Source organism: Homo sapiens, chromosome 4, assembly GCF_000001405.40.
Source record: "Homo sapiens chromosome 4, GRCh38.p14 Primary Assembly".
NCBI lineage: Eukaryota > Metazoa > Chordata > Mammalia > Primates > Hominidae > Homo > Homo sapiens.
This window is the reverse complement of record NC_000004.12, coordinates 68627408-68646596: the sequence shown is the minus strand read 5'-3', so window position 1 is coordinate 68646596 and position 19189 is coordinate 68627408. Positions and strand designations below refer to the sequence as shown.

General features: G+C 35.9%; 1 pseudogene; it reads left to right on the top strand.

Moving 5' to 3' along the window:
• LOC728807 (UDP glucuronosyltransferase family 2 member B15 pseudogene) lies at positions 17646 to 18416 on the top strand (annotated as a pseudogene).

The window sequence follows — 19189 nt, the reverse complement described above, 5'->3', positions numbered from 1 at the left end:
TGGGCTTATATTGATATTTATTATTCTAATCCAAAAGTTACACACGAAAGTTACTGAGCTTCATTATGTTTCACACATTGTATTTGAACACAACAACATTAAGAACTCCACTCATAGTATCAACATTGTTTTGCAAATACTCAAAATATTTTGGCTTCATTTTGAGCAGAATTTTTGTTTTACTTTAGCCAATGAAATCTTCAAGAATTAGGAGGAGGAGCCAAGATGACCAAATAGGAACAGCTCCAGTCTACAGCTCCCAGCGTGAGTGACACAGAAGACGGGTGATTTCTGCATTTCCATCTGAGGTACCGGGTTCATCTCACTAAGGAGTGACAGACAGTGGGCACAGGACAGTGGGTGCAGCACACTGTGTGTAAGCTGAAGCAGGGCAAGGCATTGCCTCACTGAGGAAGTGCAAGGGGTCAGGGAGTTCCCTTTCCTAGTCAAAGAAAGGGGTGACAGATGGCACCTGGAAAATTGGGTCACTCCCACCTGAATACTGCACTTTTCCAATGGGCTTAAAAAACGGTGCACCAGGAGATTATATCCCGCACGTGGCTTGGAGGGTCCTACACCCACAGAGTCTCACTGATTGCTAGCACAGCACTCTGAGATCAAACTGCAAGATGGCAACAAGGCTGGGGGAGGGGCACTTGCCATTGCCCAGGCTTGCTTAGGTAAACAAAGCAGCCAGGAAGCTCGAACTGGGTGGAGCCCACCAGAGCTCAAGAAGGCCTACCTGCCTCTGAAGGCCCCACCTCTGGGGGCAGGACACAGACAAACAAAGAGACAGCAGTAACCTCTGCAGACTTAAATGTCCCTGTCTGACAGCTTTGAAGAGAGAAGTGGTTCTCCCAGCACGCAGCTGGAGATCTGAGAATGGGCAGACTGCCTCCTCAAGTGGGTCCCTGACCCCTGACCCCTGAGCAGCCTAACTGGGAGGCACCCCCCAGTAGGGGAGAACTGACACCTCACACGGCCGGGAACTCCTCTGAGACAAAACTTCCAGAGGAATGATCAGACAGCAGCATTCGCGGTTCACGAAAATCTGCTGTTCTGCAGCCACCACTGCTGATACCCAGGCAAACAGGGTCTGGAGTGGACCTCTAGCAAATTCCAACAGACCTGCAGCAGAGAGTCCTGTCTGTTAGAAGGAAAACTAACAAACAGAAAGGACATCCACACCAAAAACCCATCTGTACATCACCATCATCAAAGACCAAAAGTAGTTAAAACCACAAAGATGGGGGGAAAACAGAGCAGAAAAACTGGAAACTCTAAAAAGCAGAGCACCTCTTCTCCTCCAAAGGAACACAGTTCCTCACCAGCAATGGAACAAAGCTGGACGGAGAATGACTTTGATGAGTTGAGAGAAGAAGGCTTCAGACGATCAAACTACTCCAAGCTACAAGAGGAAATTCAAACCAAAGGCAAAGAAGTTGAAAACTTTGAAAAAAATTTAGACGAATGTGTAACTAGAATAACCAATACAGAGAAGTGCTTAAAGGAGCTGATGGAGCTGAAAGCCAAGGCTCGAGAACTACGTGAAGAATGCAGAAGCCTCAGGAGCCGATGTGATCAACTGGAAGAAAGGGTATCAGTGATGGAAGGTCAAATGAATGAAACGAAGTGAGAAGGGAAGTTTAGAGAAAAAAGTATAAAAGGAAATGAACAAAGCCTCCAAGAAATATGGGACTATGTGAAAAGACCAAATCTACGTCTGATTAGTGTACCTGAAAGTGACAGGGAGAATGGAACCAAGTTGGAAAACACTCTGCAGGATATTATCCAGGAGAACTTCCCCAACCTAGCAAGGCAGGCCAACATTCAGATTCAGGAAATACAGCGAATGCCACAAAGATACTCCTCGAGAAGAGCACCTCCAAGACACATAATTATCAGATTCACCAAAGTTGAAATGAAGGAAAAGATGTTAAGGGCAGCCAGAGAGAAAGGTCGGGTTACCCACAAAGAGAAGCCCATCAGACTAACAGCAGCTCTCTCAGCAGAAACTCTACAAGCCAGAAGAGAGTGGGGGCCAATATTCAACATTCTTAAAGAAAAGAATTTTCAACCCAGAATTTCATATCCAGCCAAACTAAGCTTCATAAGTGAAGGAGAAAAAAAATCCTTTACAGACAAGCAAATGCTCAGAGATTTTGTCATCACCAGGCCTGCCCTAAAAGAGCTCCTGAAGGAAGCACTAAACATGGAAAGGAACAACCGGTACCAGCCACTCCAAAATCATGCCAAAATGTAAAGCCCATCAAGACTAGGAAGAAACTGCATCAAATAATGAGCAAAGTAACCAGCTAATATCATAATGACAGGATCAAATTCACACATAACAATATTAACTTTAAATGTAAATGGACTAAATACTCCAATTAAAAGACACAGACTGGCAAATTGGATAAAGAGTCAAGACCCATCAGTGTTCTGTATTCAGAAAACCCATCTCACATGCAGAGACACACATAGGCTCAAAATAAAAGGATGGAGGAAGATCTGCCAAGCAAATGGAAAACAAAAAAAGGCAGGGGTTGCAATCCTAGTCTCTGATAAAACAGACTTTAAACCAACAAAGATCAAAAGAGACAAAGAAGGCCATTACATAATGGTAAAGGGATCAATTCAACAAGAAGAGCTAACTATCCTAAATATATATGCACCCAATACAAGAGCACCCAGATTCACAAAGCAAGTCCTTAGAGACCTACAAAGAGACTTAGACTCCCACACAATAATAATGGGAGACGTTAACACACCACTGTCAACATTAGACAGATCAACGAGACAGAAAGTTAACAAGGATATCCAGGAATTGAACTCAGCTCTGCACCAAGCGGACGTAATAGACATCTACAGAACTCTCCACCCCAAATCAACAGAATATACATTCTTTTCAGCACCACACCACACCTATTACAAAATTGACCACATACTTGGAAGTAAAGCTCTCCTCAGCAAATGTAAAAGAACAGAAATTATAATAAACAGTCTCTCAGACCACAGTGCAATCAAACTAGAACTCAGGATTAAGAAACTCACTCAAAACCACTCAACTACATGTAAACTAAACAACCTGCTCCTGAATGACTACTGGGTAAATAATGAAATGAAGGCAGAAATCAAGATGTTCTTTGAAACCAATGAGAACAAAGACACAACATACAAGAATCTCTGGGACACATTCAAAGCAGTGTGTAGAGGGAAATTTATAGCACTAAATGCCCACAAGAGAAAGCAGGAAAGATCTAAAATTGACACCCTAACACAACAACTAAAAGAACTAGAAAAGCAAGAGCAAACACATTCAAAAGCTAACAGAAGGCAAGAAATAACTACGATCAGAGCAGAACTGAACGAAATAGAGACACAAAAAGCCCTTCAAAAAATTAATGAATCCAGGAGCTGTTTTTTTGAAAAGATCAACAAAATTGATCGACGGCTAACAAGACTAATAAAGAAGAAAAGAGAGAAGAATCAAATAGATGAAATAAAAAATGAGAAAGAGGATATCACCACCAATCCCACAGAAATACAAACTACCATCAGAGAATACTATAAACATGTCTATGTAAATAATCTAGAAAATCTAGATGAAATGGATGAATTCCTCAACACATACACTCTCCCAAGATTAAACCAGGAAGAAGTTGAATCTCTTAATAGACCAATAACAGGATCTGAAATTGTGGCAATAATCAATAGCTTACCAACCAAAAAAAGTCCAGGACCAGATGGATTCACAGCTGAATTCTACCAGAGGTACAAAGAGGAGCTGGTACCATTCCTTCTGAAACTATTCCAAACAACAGAAAAAGAGGGAATTCTCCCTAACTCATTTTATGAGGCCAGCATCATGCTGATACCAAAGCCTGGCAGAGACACAACAAAAAAGAAAATTTCAGGCCAATATCCCTGATGGACATTGATCCAAAAATCTTCAATAAAATACTGGCAAACCGAATCTAACAACACATCAAAAATCTTATCCACCACAATCAAGTCAGCTTCATCCCCGTGATGCAAGCCTGGCTCAACATACAGAACTCAATGAACATAATCCATCACATAAAAAGAACCAATCACAAATACCACATGATTATCTCAATAGATGCAGAAAAGGCCTTCGATAAATTCAACACACCTTCATGCTAAAAACTCCCCATTCACTAGGTATTGATGGAACATATCTCAAAATAATAAGAGCAATTTATGACAAATCCATAGCCCATATCATACTGAATGCAAAAAAGCTGGAAGCATTCCCTTTCAAAACCGGCACAAGACAAGGATGCCCTCTCTCACTACTCCTTTTCAACATTGTATTGGAAGTTCTAGCCAGGGCAATCAGCAAGAGAAAGAAATAAAGGGTATGGAAATAGAAAGAGAGGACGTCAAGTTGTCTCTGTTTGCAAATGACATGATTCTATATTTGGAAAACCCCATCATCTCAGCCCAAAAATTTCATAAGCTGATAAGCAACTTCAGCAAAGTCTCCAAATACAAAATCAATGGGCAAAAATCACAAGTATTCCTATACACTGATAATAGACAAACTGAGAGCCAAATCATGATTGAACTTCCATTCACAAGCACTACAAAGAGAATAAAGTACCTAGGAATATGGCTAAAAAGAGACGTGAAGGATTTCTTCAAGGAGAACTATAAACCACTGCCCAAGGAAATAAGAGAGGACACAAACAAATGAAAAAATATTCCATACTCACAGCTAGGAAGAATCAATATCATGAAAATGGCCACGGTGCTTAACGTAATTTATAGATTCAATGCTATTCAAATCAAGCTACCATTGACTTTCTTCTCACAACTAGAAAAACTACTTTACATTTTATATGGAAGGAAAAAAGAGCTTGTATAGCCAAGGCAACCCCAAGCAAAACAAAACAAAACAAAACAAAAAAAAGCGGCTGGAGGCATCACTCTACCTGACTTCAAACTGTACTACAAAGCTACAGTAACAAAAACAGCATGGTACTGGTACCAAGACAGATATATAGACCAATGGAACAGAACAGAGGCTTCAGAAATAACACCACACATCTACAACAATCTGATCTTTGACAAAACTGACAAAAACAAGCAACGGGAAAACTGGGAAAACTTGCTAGCTATATGCAGAAAACAGAAACTGATCCCCTTTCTTACACCTTATACAAAAATTAACTCAAGATGGATTAAAGACTTACATGTAAAACCCAAAACCATAAGAACCCTAGAAGAAAACCTAGGCAATACCAAGACATAGGGATAGGCGAAGACTTCAGGACTAAAACACCAAAAGCAATTGCAGCAAAAGCCAAAATTGACAAATGAGATCTAATTAAACTAAAGAGCTTCTGCACAGCAAAATAAACTATCATCAGAGGGAACAGGCAACCTACAGAATGGAGGAATTTTTTGCAATCTATCCCTCTGACAAAGGTCTAATATCTAGAATCTACAAGGAACTTAAATATATAAGACAAAAACAACACCATCAAAAAGTGGGCAAAGGCTATAAACAGACTCTTCTCAAAAGAATACATTTACGTGGCCAACAAACATATGAAAAAAAGCTCATCATCACTGGTCATTAGAGAAATACAAATTAAATCCACAATGAGATACCTTCTCATGCCAATTAGAATGACAATCATTAAAAAGTCAAGAAACAACAGATGCTGGAGAGGATTTGGAGAAATAGGAACACTTTTACACTGTTGATGGCAGTGCAAATTAGTTCAACCATTGTGGAAGACATTTTGGCAATTGCTCAAGGATCTAGAAGCAGAAATACCATTTGACCCAGCAATCCCATTACTGGATATATACCCAAAGGATTAAAAATCATTGTAATATAAAGACACATGCACATGTATGTTTATTGCAGCCCTATTTACAATAGCAAAGACTTGGAAACAACCCAAATGCCTACCAATGATAGGCCGAATAAATAAAATGTGTACCTATACACCATGGAATACTATGCAGCCATAAAAAATGAGTTCATGTCCTTTGCAGGGATATGGATAGAAACCATCATTCTCAGCAAACTAACATAGGAACAGAAAACCAAACACTACATGTTCTCGCTCATTAGTGGGAGTTGAACAATGAGAACACATAGACACAGAGAGGGGAAAATCACATATCAGGGCCTGTCAGGGGGTCTGGGACAAGGGGACAGAAAGCATTAGGACAAATACCTAATGCATGCAGGGCTTAAAACCTAGATGATAGGTCGATGGGTGCAGCAAATCACAATGGCACATGAATACCTATGCCACAAACCTGCACGTTCTGTAAATGTATCACAGAACTTAAAGTAAAATAAATAAAAAATAAATAAAAATTTTAAAAATAAGAATAAATAAAAGTAACAGGTTAAGCAGCATCATTGTCTGGGGTAAATACTCAAAACTCATCATCTCACTCCAGGGAAACTGAAAACATGGACACACGAGAAGTGAGTTTAAGAATGGAGGTTTAATAGGGGAAAGAAAGAGAAAGGAGAATAGCTCTCATTTCTGCAGAAAGGTGCTCCCGAATGGATCTTCTAGTCCCATGGTGAAATGCACAGGGATTTATAGATGAGCTTGAGGAAACAGTGTCTGATTTATATAGGGCACAAAGGATTGGTGGAACCAGGTGTGCCATTTACATAGTGTAAGAAGAAGCTGTCTGCCCCACCTTAATTTTCAATAAGCAAATGGTTTCTCTACATGGCCAGTGCCATGTTGCTGCTTCTTTACTGCACATATGGTTGACAAAGAAAAGGAAAGAGGGGACCTCCACGTTGAATATCCATGTTGAATATACCTGGCTTCAAGGTATCCCATCCCTTTTCTTTCTTTTTTTTTTTTAATTATACTTTAAGTTCTGGGGTACATGTGCAGAATCTGCAGTTTTGTTACATGGGTATACATGTGAAACAGTGGTTTGCTGCACCCATCAACCCGTCACCTCCATTAGATATTTCTCCTAATCCTATCCCTCCCCTAGTCCACCACACCTCAACAGGCCCCAGTGTGTGATGTTCCCCTCCCTGTGTCCATGTGATCTCACTGTTCAACTCCCACTTATGAGTGAGAACAAGTGGTGTTTGGTGTTCTGTTCTTGTGTTAGTTTGCTGAAAATGATGGTTTCCAGCTTCATCCATGTCCCTGCAAAGGACATGAACTTACCTTTTTTATGGCTGTGTAGTATTCCATGGTGTATATGTGCCACATTTTCTTTATCCAGTCTAACATTGATGGATATTTGGGTTGGTTCCAAGTCTTTGCTACTGCGAATAGTGCTGCAATAAACATACGTGTGCATGTGTCTTTATAATAGAATGATTTAGAATCCTTTGGGCGTGTACCAAGTAATGGGATTGCTGGGTCAAATGGTATTTCTAGTTCTAGATCCTTGAGGAATTACTGGCACAGTTGCCAGCATTTACCTATGCAAGCTTTAGCTTGTTTATCTAGGTTTGAAGCTTGATTTTTCTGGCTGCTTTTTGTTAGCAAGGAAATGATTTGGGGGGCTGCTTTTTATTAAAACAAAACCTTACCAAGGACTTTCACCCTCACTATCTGCCTAAATAATTTCTTTCTAGCTCCTGTATCACAGGCATAACTTTATCAGAAACCTGAGAAAATTTACAGTATTTAATCATATGAAAAGTAATATACTGTGAAAATGAAACAAAAGAAAAAAGAAAGCTCTAATACATTTGATCAAATTAGGTTGCACCCCATATTTTTTCAGCTAATTTTTTTTTCTCTAGCCTTTGCTGTGTCAAGGAGCTTTGTGAAGTCGTCTTCTGATAGGACAGGTCTCTCATTTTCTGCACCAGACTTCTTTAACATCTCTTCATGGAACCCTCGAAGAAACTCAGCTAGCACTCACTCACATATGCATAACCTGGCAGTGTGAGCAATAGAAAGTGATGGTTAATGATCACGCTTTACATCCACACAACTTCCTACTGGGTCCGCATGAGCTTTAGTCCCAACAGTTATGGTGATGATTAGTTTGGTAACACATTCTTGTACTGACTTTTCTCCCTTCTTGTTTCACCCTTTCCTGTCCCCTACTCCTGTACCCTAAGAACATTTCTCAAATTAAGTTATTGCACACTAATTCTTATCTCAGGCTTTGCTTTCTGAGAAAAATAGACTATGGCAGCTTGGGCAAGTGGCACTAAAAAGCAGACCCTCAACAAGGGACTTTGGAATTTAATAATTCACTGATAACTGGCAAAAACAATCTCATTGCCAATAACACTTGAGAGGTGATAACTCCTGGTATTCAGTAAAATCACTTTGAACAAAATGGATACAATTCACACAGGGGAGAAAAGAACTGAGGTGAAAGACATGGGGAAAGTGAACCATTGCTTTACCAACAGTATAAAGATCATGGTAATTACATAGTTTATAAAGTGAAGACTTTTAGCAGTTTTAGAGAGTTTGTAAAAAGAAAAAAAGCAGGCTCAGTTTGAATAAATATCAAATCAAAATATACTATGTAAGTCAGATGTTCTTGGCAGTGTTTAAAGAAAATCGACTTCTGTAGCAGCAGCAGCTGACCACATTGAGAATTTCTTCGCAAAACAACAGTGATGCACAGGAGACGACACTGTCCGCCTCTACTACACTTTATGCCAAATTCAGGGCCTGAAGAGCAAAATAATGGGACTCAGAGACTTGGAGTTGGAGAACAACAAATTAGAGATAGAATGACTCCTACCTGACAAATACTACAAAATTTAACTATTTGGGAAAACCTTTGTTCACAAGCTAATTCTCTTTTCCCCATGAACTTTTCTAAAGTGTGAACTGGTTGCTTTCACGGTCATTTTTAAACTTTAATATTGGATAAAATGTCTGAATTGTAGGTTGTGATAATATAAAACCAGCACTTTAAGGGGACTTACTGATTTTGATTATCACAAATGTACATGTATATATGTGTTCACTTCTTCCAAAACAAGGCACAGAATTATTGAGCTGCCTTACAGATGTTTGTGAAACTGAATGTGTTTGTAGAAGACAGTTAAAAATGATAATTATTCTATATAACCCTATTTTATATAAGGATGTCTCATGTTTCTCTCTTTCCTCAGAAGCCTGTAACTCTATTCATCCCATAACACTAATATGAAAACATAAGTCATTTAGCATGACCAAAAATAGGATAATGATTTTTTAAAATGTAAGCATATTGCAACTAATCATAATCAGTAACAATTAAAAGACCACAAAAATTACCAAAAATTGGCAAATAATAAAATCTCAGGAATTCTCAAGGCCCTCTTAAAAGCTACACATCAAGGAAACACTTTATGATCAAAGTAGTATGGGTTAACACAAACCTATGTGTCTTTATTGGTAAGAAGACCATCATCCAAGTCTCACAATAACCACTCTATGACCTATGGCATGAATGTATTCTAAAAATAAATTAAAATTTTGATGCTAAGGGAATTATTGGAAGAGATTGCAGCAACATTTTTATAAAATGTATCTAGATAAATGAAACATTTTTAAGAAAAATTGAATGAATATAGTGTCATAGTAGATAATATTGCTAAATCATGCATACAAACCTAAAGTAATTTACATCAAGCTTATCCTGCAACACATAGATAAAGGACTGGTATCTCTTGTATAGTGAGAGCTATTATATATCACCAACCAAAAAGACAAACAGACCAATATGAAAATAGATGAAGGATATGAATTGACAATTCACAGAAGTAAAAATGGCCAATCACATCAAAAAGATGGCTACTTGTACTAGAAAGTTGGACATTATAATTTAGTAAGTCAATAACCTTAAGTCAATGAATTTATTTTAACTTTTATTTTAAGCTCAGGGGTACATGTGCAAGTTTGTTACATAGGTAAATATGTGTCAACACCCAGGTATTAAGCCTAGTACCCACTAATTATTTTTCCTGATCCTCTCCCCCCTCCCACCTTCTACCCTCCAAGAGGCCCCAGTGTGTGTTGTTCATGTGTTCCATGTGCTCTCATCACTTAGCTTCCTGTGTGGCCATGTGTTCTCATCATTTAGCTTCCACTTGTAAGTGAGAACATGCAGCATTTGGTTGTCTGTTCCAAGACCTAATGACAGAAATACCATTTGACCCAGCAATGCCATTGCTGGGTATATACCCAAAGGAATATAATCATTCTATTATAAAGACACATGCATGTATATGTTGATTGCAACACTATTCACAATAGCAAAGACATGAAATCAACCTAAATGTCCATCAATGGTAGACTGAATAAGGAAAGTGCAGTATGTATACACCATGGATTACTATGTAGCCATAAAAAGTCAACGAATTATTTTCCCACAGGAGATTGATCAAACATAAGAATCTGAGAAAAGAGTTTGTGAGAGAGTATAAAGTGAAACAACTCTTACAAAAAAAATTAAACATACAGTTTGACTCTGCAATTCTACATCTAGTCATCTGCCATCCAGATATACTTGCACCTGAGTGCATGTATGTACAGGATGTTCCCTCCATCACTTGCCTGGCTATCAGTCAATGAACATACATACCTACCACAAAAAGTAGAAGGTATGCAGCAATTACAGAGAACAGGCATATTACAGACAATATCATGGAATGCTCTCCACATCACATTGCTAAATGAAAAAAAGTTTCAGAAAAAAAAGTATGATATTCTTCTTTGAAATAAAATTAAGAATCTGTAAATCTGTATAAACATAGAGGATTCTACTTTTAATTTTGATTCTATATACTTCATTCACTAACCTTTCACAAATTTGTTTTTATATATTAATTATATAGTTTTAAAAATTAATTAGTGAAATAAACATTGATTTGAGATAGCATGTTCTTGGGTTTTAATATAATATTATCAATCCATTAGTGCCATTTAGAAAACTTAAATTGACCAGCAATCCGGTGCTCTCTATCTGATAAATTTACAGCCTGTTTTTGGACACCTACTTGATATTTTAAATATTTATTAATAAATATATTAGAATGTTAATTAAAATTTTTAATTATGGCTAAAATTTTAGCAAACAAATTTTTAAAATTTTAATGTCTTATGTCAACATTTTATGAATTCTACAGTAGTTTAGTGATTTCTTCTAATTTTTAAGGTTATATTCGCAGTAATTTTGAGATGTGATTACAAATGCATTGGCAATCCTCTCATCAAGTCATATACCCTTCCTGTGAAATTTAGCAAATTTTGTGGCTGTCTCAAAAAAGAGAATATAGTGGAAGTGAGGAGCTTAACTTCCAAAGCTCAAAAAAATTGTTAATACATTTTCTCTGTCTGTCCTTCTGTCCTTTTCTCTGTGTTTCTGTCATTCTTTTTTCCTTTTTCTCTGTCTCTCCACTCGCTTTGGAGCCCTGTGCTATATCCACAGTCCCCAGGAGAAATATACCATTTGGTGTAGAAATACATATGTATGCCTAATAAGTCACAATTGGCCCAGCACTGCAGTAGCTTGAGACTTTTAATACTAATCACCAGATATGTGAGTGATTAACCTTCAGATGATTAGCCCAAGCTACCTTAGGACAGTAACCAACTGAGAAATGCTGTGCCATAAACACCTAACTGAGCCTGGCCAACAACCTAGAATTAAAACAGATGATGATAAAATGTTGCTGTTCTAAGCACCTTCATTTCAGAGCAGTTGGTTAAGCAGTGATAGACAACCAGAAAAATATTTTTACATATTTGAGTTATACTCCTGTAATAATATTAAAATTAATATATACCTACAAAAAAAGTGAATCTATATTACATTTTGTAACTACCTGTAACCCAGAAAGAGTAGTCAGCATAGGATGGTGGGTAAGAGCTTGCACTCTGAATCCAGATAACCTATATCATCTTTGCAAAACCATTACAGAATCACTTATGGTTAAGCAAATTACTTATCAGGTCTATGCCTCACATTCTCCTTCAGTGAAATGTAGATGAAGCAATGTCACTACCTACTTAATAGCATTGCTGAGACTAAAAGAGTTGCTGTATGTAATTGCTGTATATAGCAAAATTCAATTTGCTATAACTATTATTATTATTAAATGGATAAGTACATTTCTGCAATGAATTTGGACTTAACATAGTCCAAATCTTTTAAAATTTTAAAATTTTAAAATTTTATGTTTCAAATATAAATGATTAAAATTTCAAATATAAATTTTTAAAATTTTATATTTCAAATATAAATGATTAAAATGACAGCACTTTCTATTTCAATAATGTATTAATTGAGCACCTAAGCAAGAGAAAGCTATAAAAGGCATCCAAATAGGAAAAGAATTGAAGGTATTGTTCTTTGGTGATGATATGATTCTATACCTAGAAAATCCTAAAGACTGCCTAAAGCCTGCTAGAACTGAAAAATGACTTCAGTAATGTTTCAAGATACAAAATCCATGTACAAAAATCAATACCATTTCTATACACCAATAAAAATTCAGGCTAAGAGTCAAATCAAGAACACAATCACATTTATACCACACACACAAACAAAATATACTTAAAAATACATCTAACCAAGGAGACAAAAGTTTTCTACAAGAACTACAAAGCACTGCTGAAATAAATCATAGATGACTCAAACAAATGGTAGAGCATTTTATGCTCAGGGTTGGAAGAATCAATATCATTAAAATAACCATCCTAACCAAAGCCATCCACACATTAAATGCTATTCCTATTAAAATGCCAATGTCATTATTCACAGAATTAGAAAAAAATATTCAAAAATTTCCATAAAACCAAAAATTAGCCCAAATAGCTGAAGAATGCCTCAGCAAAGAGAACAAAGCCAGAGGCATCACATTACCCAACTTCAAACTATGTTATAAGGCTGCAGACACCAAAACAGCATGGTTCTGTTACAAAAACAGACACATAAATCAATGAAACAGAATACAGAGCCCAGAAATACAGCAACAGACCTATAGTCATCTATCACTGAGTCAACAAAAATAAGCAATGGAGAAAAGGACTCCCTATTCAATAAATGATGGTGGGATAGCTTGCTAGCCATAAGAAAAAGAATGAAACTGGATCTCTACTTTTCACCAAGCAAAAATTAACCCAAGATGAATTAAATGTTTAAATATAAGACCTAAAGCTATAAGACTTATTGAAGAAAATCTAGGAAATACCATTCTAGACATCAGCCTTGGGAAAGAATTTATAACTAAGTCCTTAATAACAATTGCAACAAAACTCAAAATTCACAAGTGAGATGTAAACTGAAGAAATATTAGCAAACTACACATCTGTTAAAGGTCTAATATCTAGAATCTATAAGAAACTTGAATAATTCAACAAGCAAAAATCAAGTAACCCCGTGAAAAACCGGGCAAAAGATGTGAACAGGTACTTCTCAAAAGAAGACATACAAGGAACCAACAAACGTGACAAAAATGCTCAACATCACTAATCATCATAGAAATGCAAATCAAAACCACAATGAGACCATCTCACACTAGTCATAATGGCTATTACTAAAAAGTATAAATTAATAATAATACCACATGCTAGTGAGGATCCAGAGAAAAGGAAATGCTTATATACTGTTGGTGGATTGCAAATTAGTTGAATTACTGTGGAAAGCAGTTTAGAGATTTCTCAAAAAAAAGGTAAAACAGAAGCACCATTCCACATAACAAACAAACTCACCTATTCTAAATAAAATGGAAATACAAATTAATTTATTAACTCATTATTAACATAATTAAACATAAATCATCTGACTCACTAAAAATCTATACTATTTTATTAAAATTGCATTGAATATATACAATATATTGAATATATAGTAATACAGAAATATATAGAAATATATATTGAATATATAGAAAGGTTAAAGGAAAAAATGAACCTGCAGAGATCAGAATAGGTTCTATAAAGCCTCAGATGGTAAATATTTTTGGAATTTGCAAACCCTTTAGACTCTTGTTCCTACTCAACTCTTCCACTGTAGTACAAAAGCAGCCACAGACAATAAGGTAAACTCTGTAAAAGTAAACAAAATCAACAAACTGTTAGCTAGACTAAGTTGGAAAAAGTGAGAACAGACCCACTAAATAAAATCAGAAGTGAAAGAGGAGACAAAAAACTGAGATTACAGAAACACAAATTATTACAGAATATTATGAACAACTATATACCAACAAATTGGAAAACCTAGATGATATTAATAAATTCCTGGACACATACAACCAACCAAGATAGACCCATGAAGAAATAAAAAACCTGAACAAACTAATAACAAGTAACAAGATTGAAGCTGTAAGGAAAAAGTCTCCCATAAAAGAAAAGCCAGTGTCTGATGGCTTCCAGTGAAATATTATTTAGAAAAAAATAGTGGGGTAATAACTGGAAATGGTAGAGTAGAAAATATCAAAGCTCTATACTTCTATCAAATATTTAAAATAATTAATCCTCCAAAAAATAAAAGAGGAGAAAACATAACCACCATTCAGTAAGCCCTTATGCTAAAAACCACACAATGGCTTCAAGTCCTGTCTTTTATATACCTGCAAATATAAAATGTTAATTTATACTCTCAGGGTAAAAGTCAAGAGAACTCTGTTTTAGGACCTTGTGATTTTCCTTGTGAGTAAATTGGGAAGGAGGCCCTCTGGAGAGGTATGTGGCCTTCTATTTTTGCATTTATCTGTTTAGGAACAAAATGGGAGCCAGTTTTACATGGTTTGTTTCCCAAGATTAACTTTTCTCTTTGACATAGTGAGTTTAATGTCTCAAGATTTTTACTTTCCTTTCGCACTAGCAAAGAAAATTCAGGAACATACGAAAAGCTTAAATGCCATAAACAAATGAATTTTATTCCAGGAATGCAAAGTTATGTTAACATCTGAAAAAGCCAACTAGTATATCATATCATTAGAATAAAGGAAAAAACTGCATAATCACTTCAATAACTGCAGAAAAACTTATTTAATGAAATTCAATACTCTTCATCATAAGAACACTTAAACTAGAAGTAAAGGAGAACATCTTAAAACTGATCAATAGTATCTATAAAAAAATACACAGCTGCTACTCGGGAGGCTGAGGCAGGAAAATGGCGTGAACCCGGGAAGCGGAGCTTGCAGTGAGCCGAGATTGCGCCACTGCAGTCCGCAGTCCGGCCTGGGCGACAGAGCGAGACTCCGTCTCAAAAAAAAAAAAAAAAAAAAAAATACACAGCTAACATCACACTAAATTGACTCTTCTCACTTCCACTCAATATTGCAGTAGAAATTTCAGTCAACAAATAAGAAAGAAAATGAAATAAAAGGAATCCACATTAGAAAGAAAGAAGTTAAACTATCTCTATTGGCATATATAATGATCTTGTAATAGGAAATTTTTACAAATCCACTAAAAAATATTCAAGTAAACCAATAAAACAAGATTTTGGGATCCAAGATAAGAAAACAAAAAATCTACAAAATTGCAATGGAAATTTAAACTAAAATGAAGATTAAACAATCACCCTTATAATACCATGAAAAAATATAATTCTTAGTAATAAGTTTAACAAAAAATTGTACAACTCTCACTGTGAAATTATTACTAGTGGTGGTTACTGCAGCAAATTTTTGTGGTTCTGCAGCAACCTGAATTCTTGCCTCCTCAGAAGAAAGAATTTGATTGAGGGGCACAAGGCAAAAAAAGAGACCGGGACAAGTTTCAGAACAAAAGTGAAAATTTATTAAAAAGGTTTATAGCAGGAAAGAAAGGAAAGTACACTTGGGGTATATCCAAGTGGCCATTTTGAAGGTAAAGTGCAGTGTTTGACCTTTGACTTAGGGTTTTATATGTTGGCATACTTCCAGGATCCTGCTTCCATTTTCCTTGATTCTTTCCTTAGGGTGACCTGCTGGTATGTGTGATGGCCTGCTAGCACTTAGGAGATGAGTATGCACAGTATGTTTACTGGAGTCATATGAATGCTCCCCTGAGGCATTCTTCCCTTTTCTGGTGCCACCGGAATGTCTTACTCCACCATTTGGCCTCTTAATGTGCATGCGTGAGCCCACTCACCCAACTCCTGAGATCTTATCAGGAAGCTGCTGATTACCAGATTTGATTTTTTCTATTTATAGGAAAGCTGCCTTTCTCTGGCTGGCTGCAACCAATTATTATTTTAGCGAGACAGTGTGACAACTGCCTGACCATTAACTGATGGTCATCTGACTTTCCTGGTAGGGTGTGGGAGCCGTCTTCTGCCCTGTTTGTGTCTGACTAGCTAGCCACTGTAACAAAATCTACAAAACGCTGTGGAAATAAGAACATCTAAATAAATAGAAAGGCATCACATCTTCATTTATTGAAAGACCTAATATTGTGATAATTACCATACTCTACTCCCCAAATTCATATACCAAATCAATGCAATCCCTATCAAAATCCCAGATCACTTCTTTGCATAAACAGACAAGCTGATTCTGAAATTTATACATATTCAAGAGACATACTAATAGCCAAAAGAAGCTAGGTGTAGTGAAACACATCTGTAAATCCAGCTACTCAAGAGGCTGTGTTGGGAGGATTGCTTGAGCCCAGAAATTTGAATCTAGTCTGGGCAATATAGTAACACCTCTACCTCTTAAAGAAAAAAAGCAAGAAGAAAAAAATTTTTTAAAAAACTGAAACAATTTAAAATAAAAATGAGCTGGAAAACTTACATTTCCTGCTTTTAAAGACAAATACAAATATACAATAATCAAGAGAGTGTGATACAGGCCTACAGATAGACATGTAGATCAATGGAATGGATTTTAGAATATAGAAATACACCCATGCATTTAAAGTTTTTGACAAAAGTTTCAAAACTATTTAAGGGGGAAAGAATAGATTATTCAACAAATATAAGTGGGAATAATGATTATCCATATACAAAATAATTGAGTTGGGACCCTCTACCTCAAATCACTTACAAAAGCTAATTCAAAGGTGATCAAAAACTTAAATGTAAGCACTAGAACTATAAAACTCTAATAATAAATAACAGGTACTAATTTTTGTAACTTGGAAATGGTTTGTGAGATATAAAATCAAAAATAAAAGCAACCAAATTAAAATTGATTAGTTGGACTTCATCAAAATCAATACTTTTGTGCTTCAATGAACACCGTTAAGAAAGTAAAAGGACAGCCCAAAGAATAAAAAAAAAACAAGGAAATCATATATGTGATAAGGTTCTTATATCAGAAAGATATTAAAAACACAAGTCCATAAGAAGACAAATAATTCAACCAAAATTAGGCAAAACATGCTCAACATGATTTCATATCAAAGAAAGGTAAAGCATAACCAGATATCACTTCATTCACACTGGCTATAATCAAACGAAATATAATCCCAAGTGTTGGCAAGGTTGGGAAGAAATTAAAATTCTTATACATTGCTGGTGAGAATGGAAATTGAAGCATCCACTGTGAAAAACAATCTGGAAATTCCTATGGTAATTTAGAAATTATATGGTAACAGACAATTCCTATGGTAATTTAGAAATTATATGGTAACTACTACTTTGAATTGTAGCAGTTATACTTTCACTTGATTGATTTATCTTCAGATATAAGTAGGAGAAAAACAGAAAGAAACAGCGATTTGAAAAGAAGCATTGCATTGCACCAGGAGAACTATGAAATCGATGTCAAATATTCTCCTGATACAACTCAGTTGTCACTTTAGTTCTGGGAGTTGTGGAAAGGTGCTAGTGTGGCCCACAGAATACAGCCATTGGATGAATATAAAGACAATCCTGGATGAACTTGTTTGGAGAGGCCATAAGATGACTGTGCTGTCATCTTTGGCTTCCATTATTATTCACCCTAGTAAATCATCTGCTATTAGATTTGAGGTTTATCCAACATCTCTAATTAAAAATAATTTTGAGGGTCTTGTTGTGAAACTGATCAATAGATGGATATACGATCTTCAGAAAGATGCATTTTGGTCATATTTCTCACAAGCACAAGAACTCTTTTGGGAATCTACAGACTGTGTTAATAATCTCTGTAAAGATGTAGTTTTGAACAAGAAAATTACGACAAAACTACAAGAGTCAAAGTTTGATGTCGTTCTTGCAGATGCCCTTGGTGCCTGTGGTGAACTGCTAGCTGAGCATGTTAAAGGCATGTTAAATACATGTCCTTTGTTGACAGTCTCCTGGCTACACACTTGAGAAGTATAGTGGAGGACTTCTATTCCCCACTTCCCGCATACCTGCTGTTCTGTCTGAATTAAGTGGTAAAATGACATTCGTGGAGAGGATTAAAAATTTAATACATGTGCTTTATTTTGACTTTTGGTTTCAAATGTTTGATACGAGAAGTGGGAGAAGTTTTACAGTGAAGTTCTAGGTAAGTCATGTTTCTAATCAATGGTTAATAAGTTCTAACTTTCCTTTTGCCTTTGAAGGTGAGCGTATATAAATATAATGTAAGAAGATAGTGTTGTTTAAATGAAATGATGAATGGCAAATGTAAGATGATCTATCAATCTCACAAATATTATAGAAATGTTGATATTATAGGCTCAGCTAGAACCCTTTGGCCATCGCTCCTATAGGACACTACAGGAATTAAAAAAAAAAAACTACAAAGTAAAGCACTTATGATTTCTTTAAGCAACTATATAAGTATTTTACTATACTTTTTTCATCTTTAAAAAAGGCAATACATATATCAATAAACAACTTGATGAAGGCAGACATTTAGATGAGGAGCTACACATATTTCTAGCATAACTATTAATGCAGCATTGAGAAACTTGTTTCTCTTTGTGTACCTCAGTTTTCTTATTTAGGTATTAAAATATTTTTCTCTATAAACAGAAGGATTCCTTCACAGTTGAGAGGTATACTGGCTCTATTTCAGAAACAGAAACCTAAAATTTGAGGTTTCTAGTGTTTGTTCATAGTTCACTAACAACTTGGAAATTATTTGCTTTGTGAACTGAAACCTTGTTGAAAGTGAACATTCAAGCTTTTAATCTATATTTTATTGAACTACTTCTCTTTATTAGGGAAAATATGGGCCAAGTTAAGGGGGAGCACATATCTCTGTTTCAATAAATTCTGAATATATACTAGCTATCATTTTTAAATGTATGTATTTTACAACTAATATCATTAAAATCTT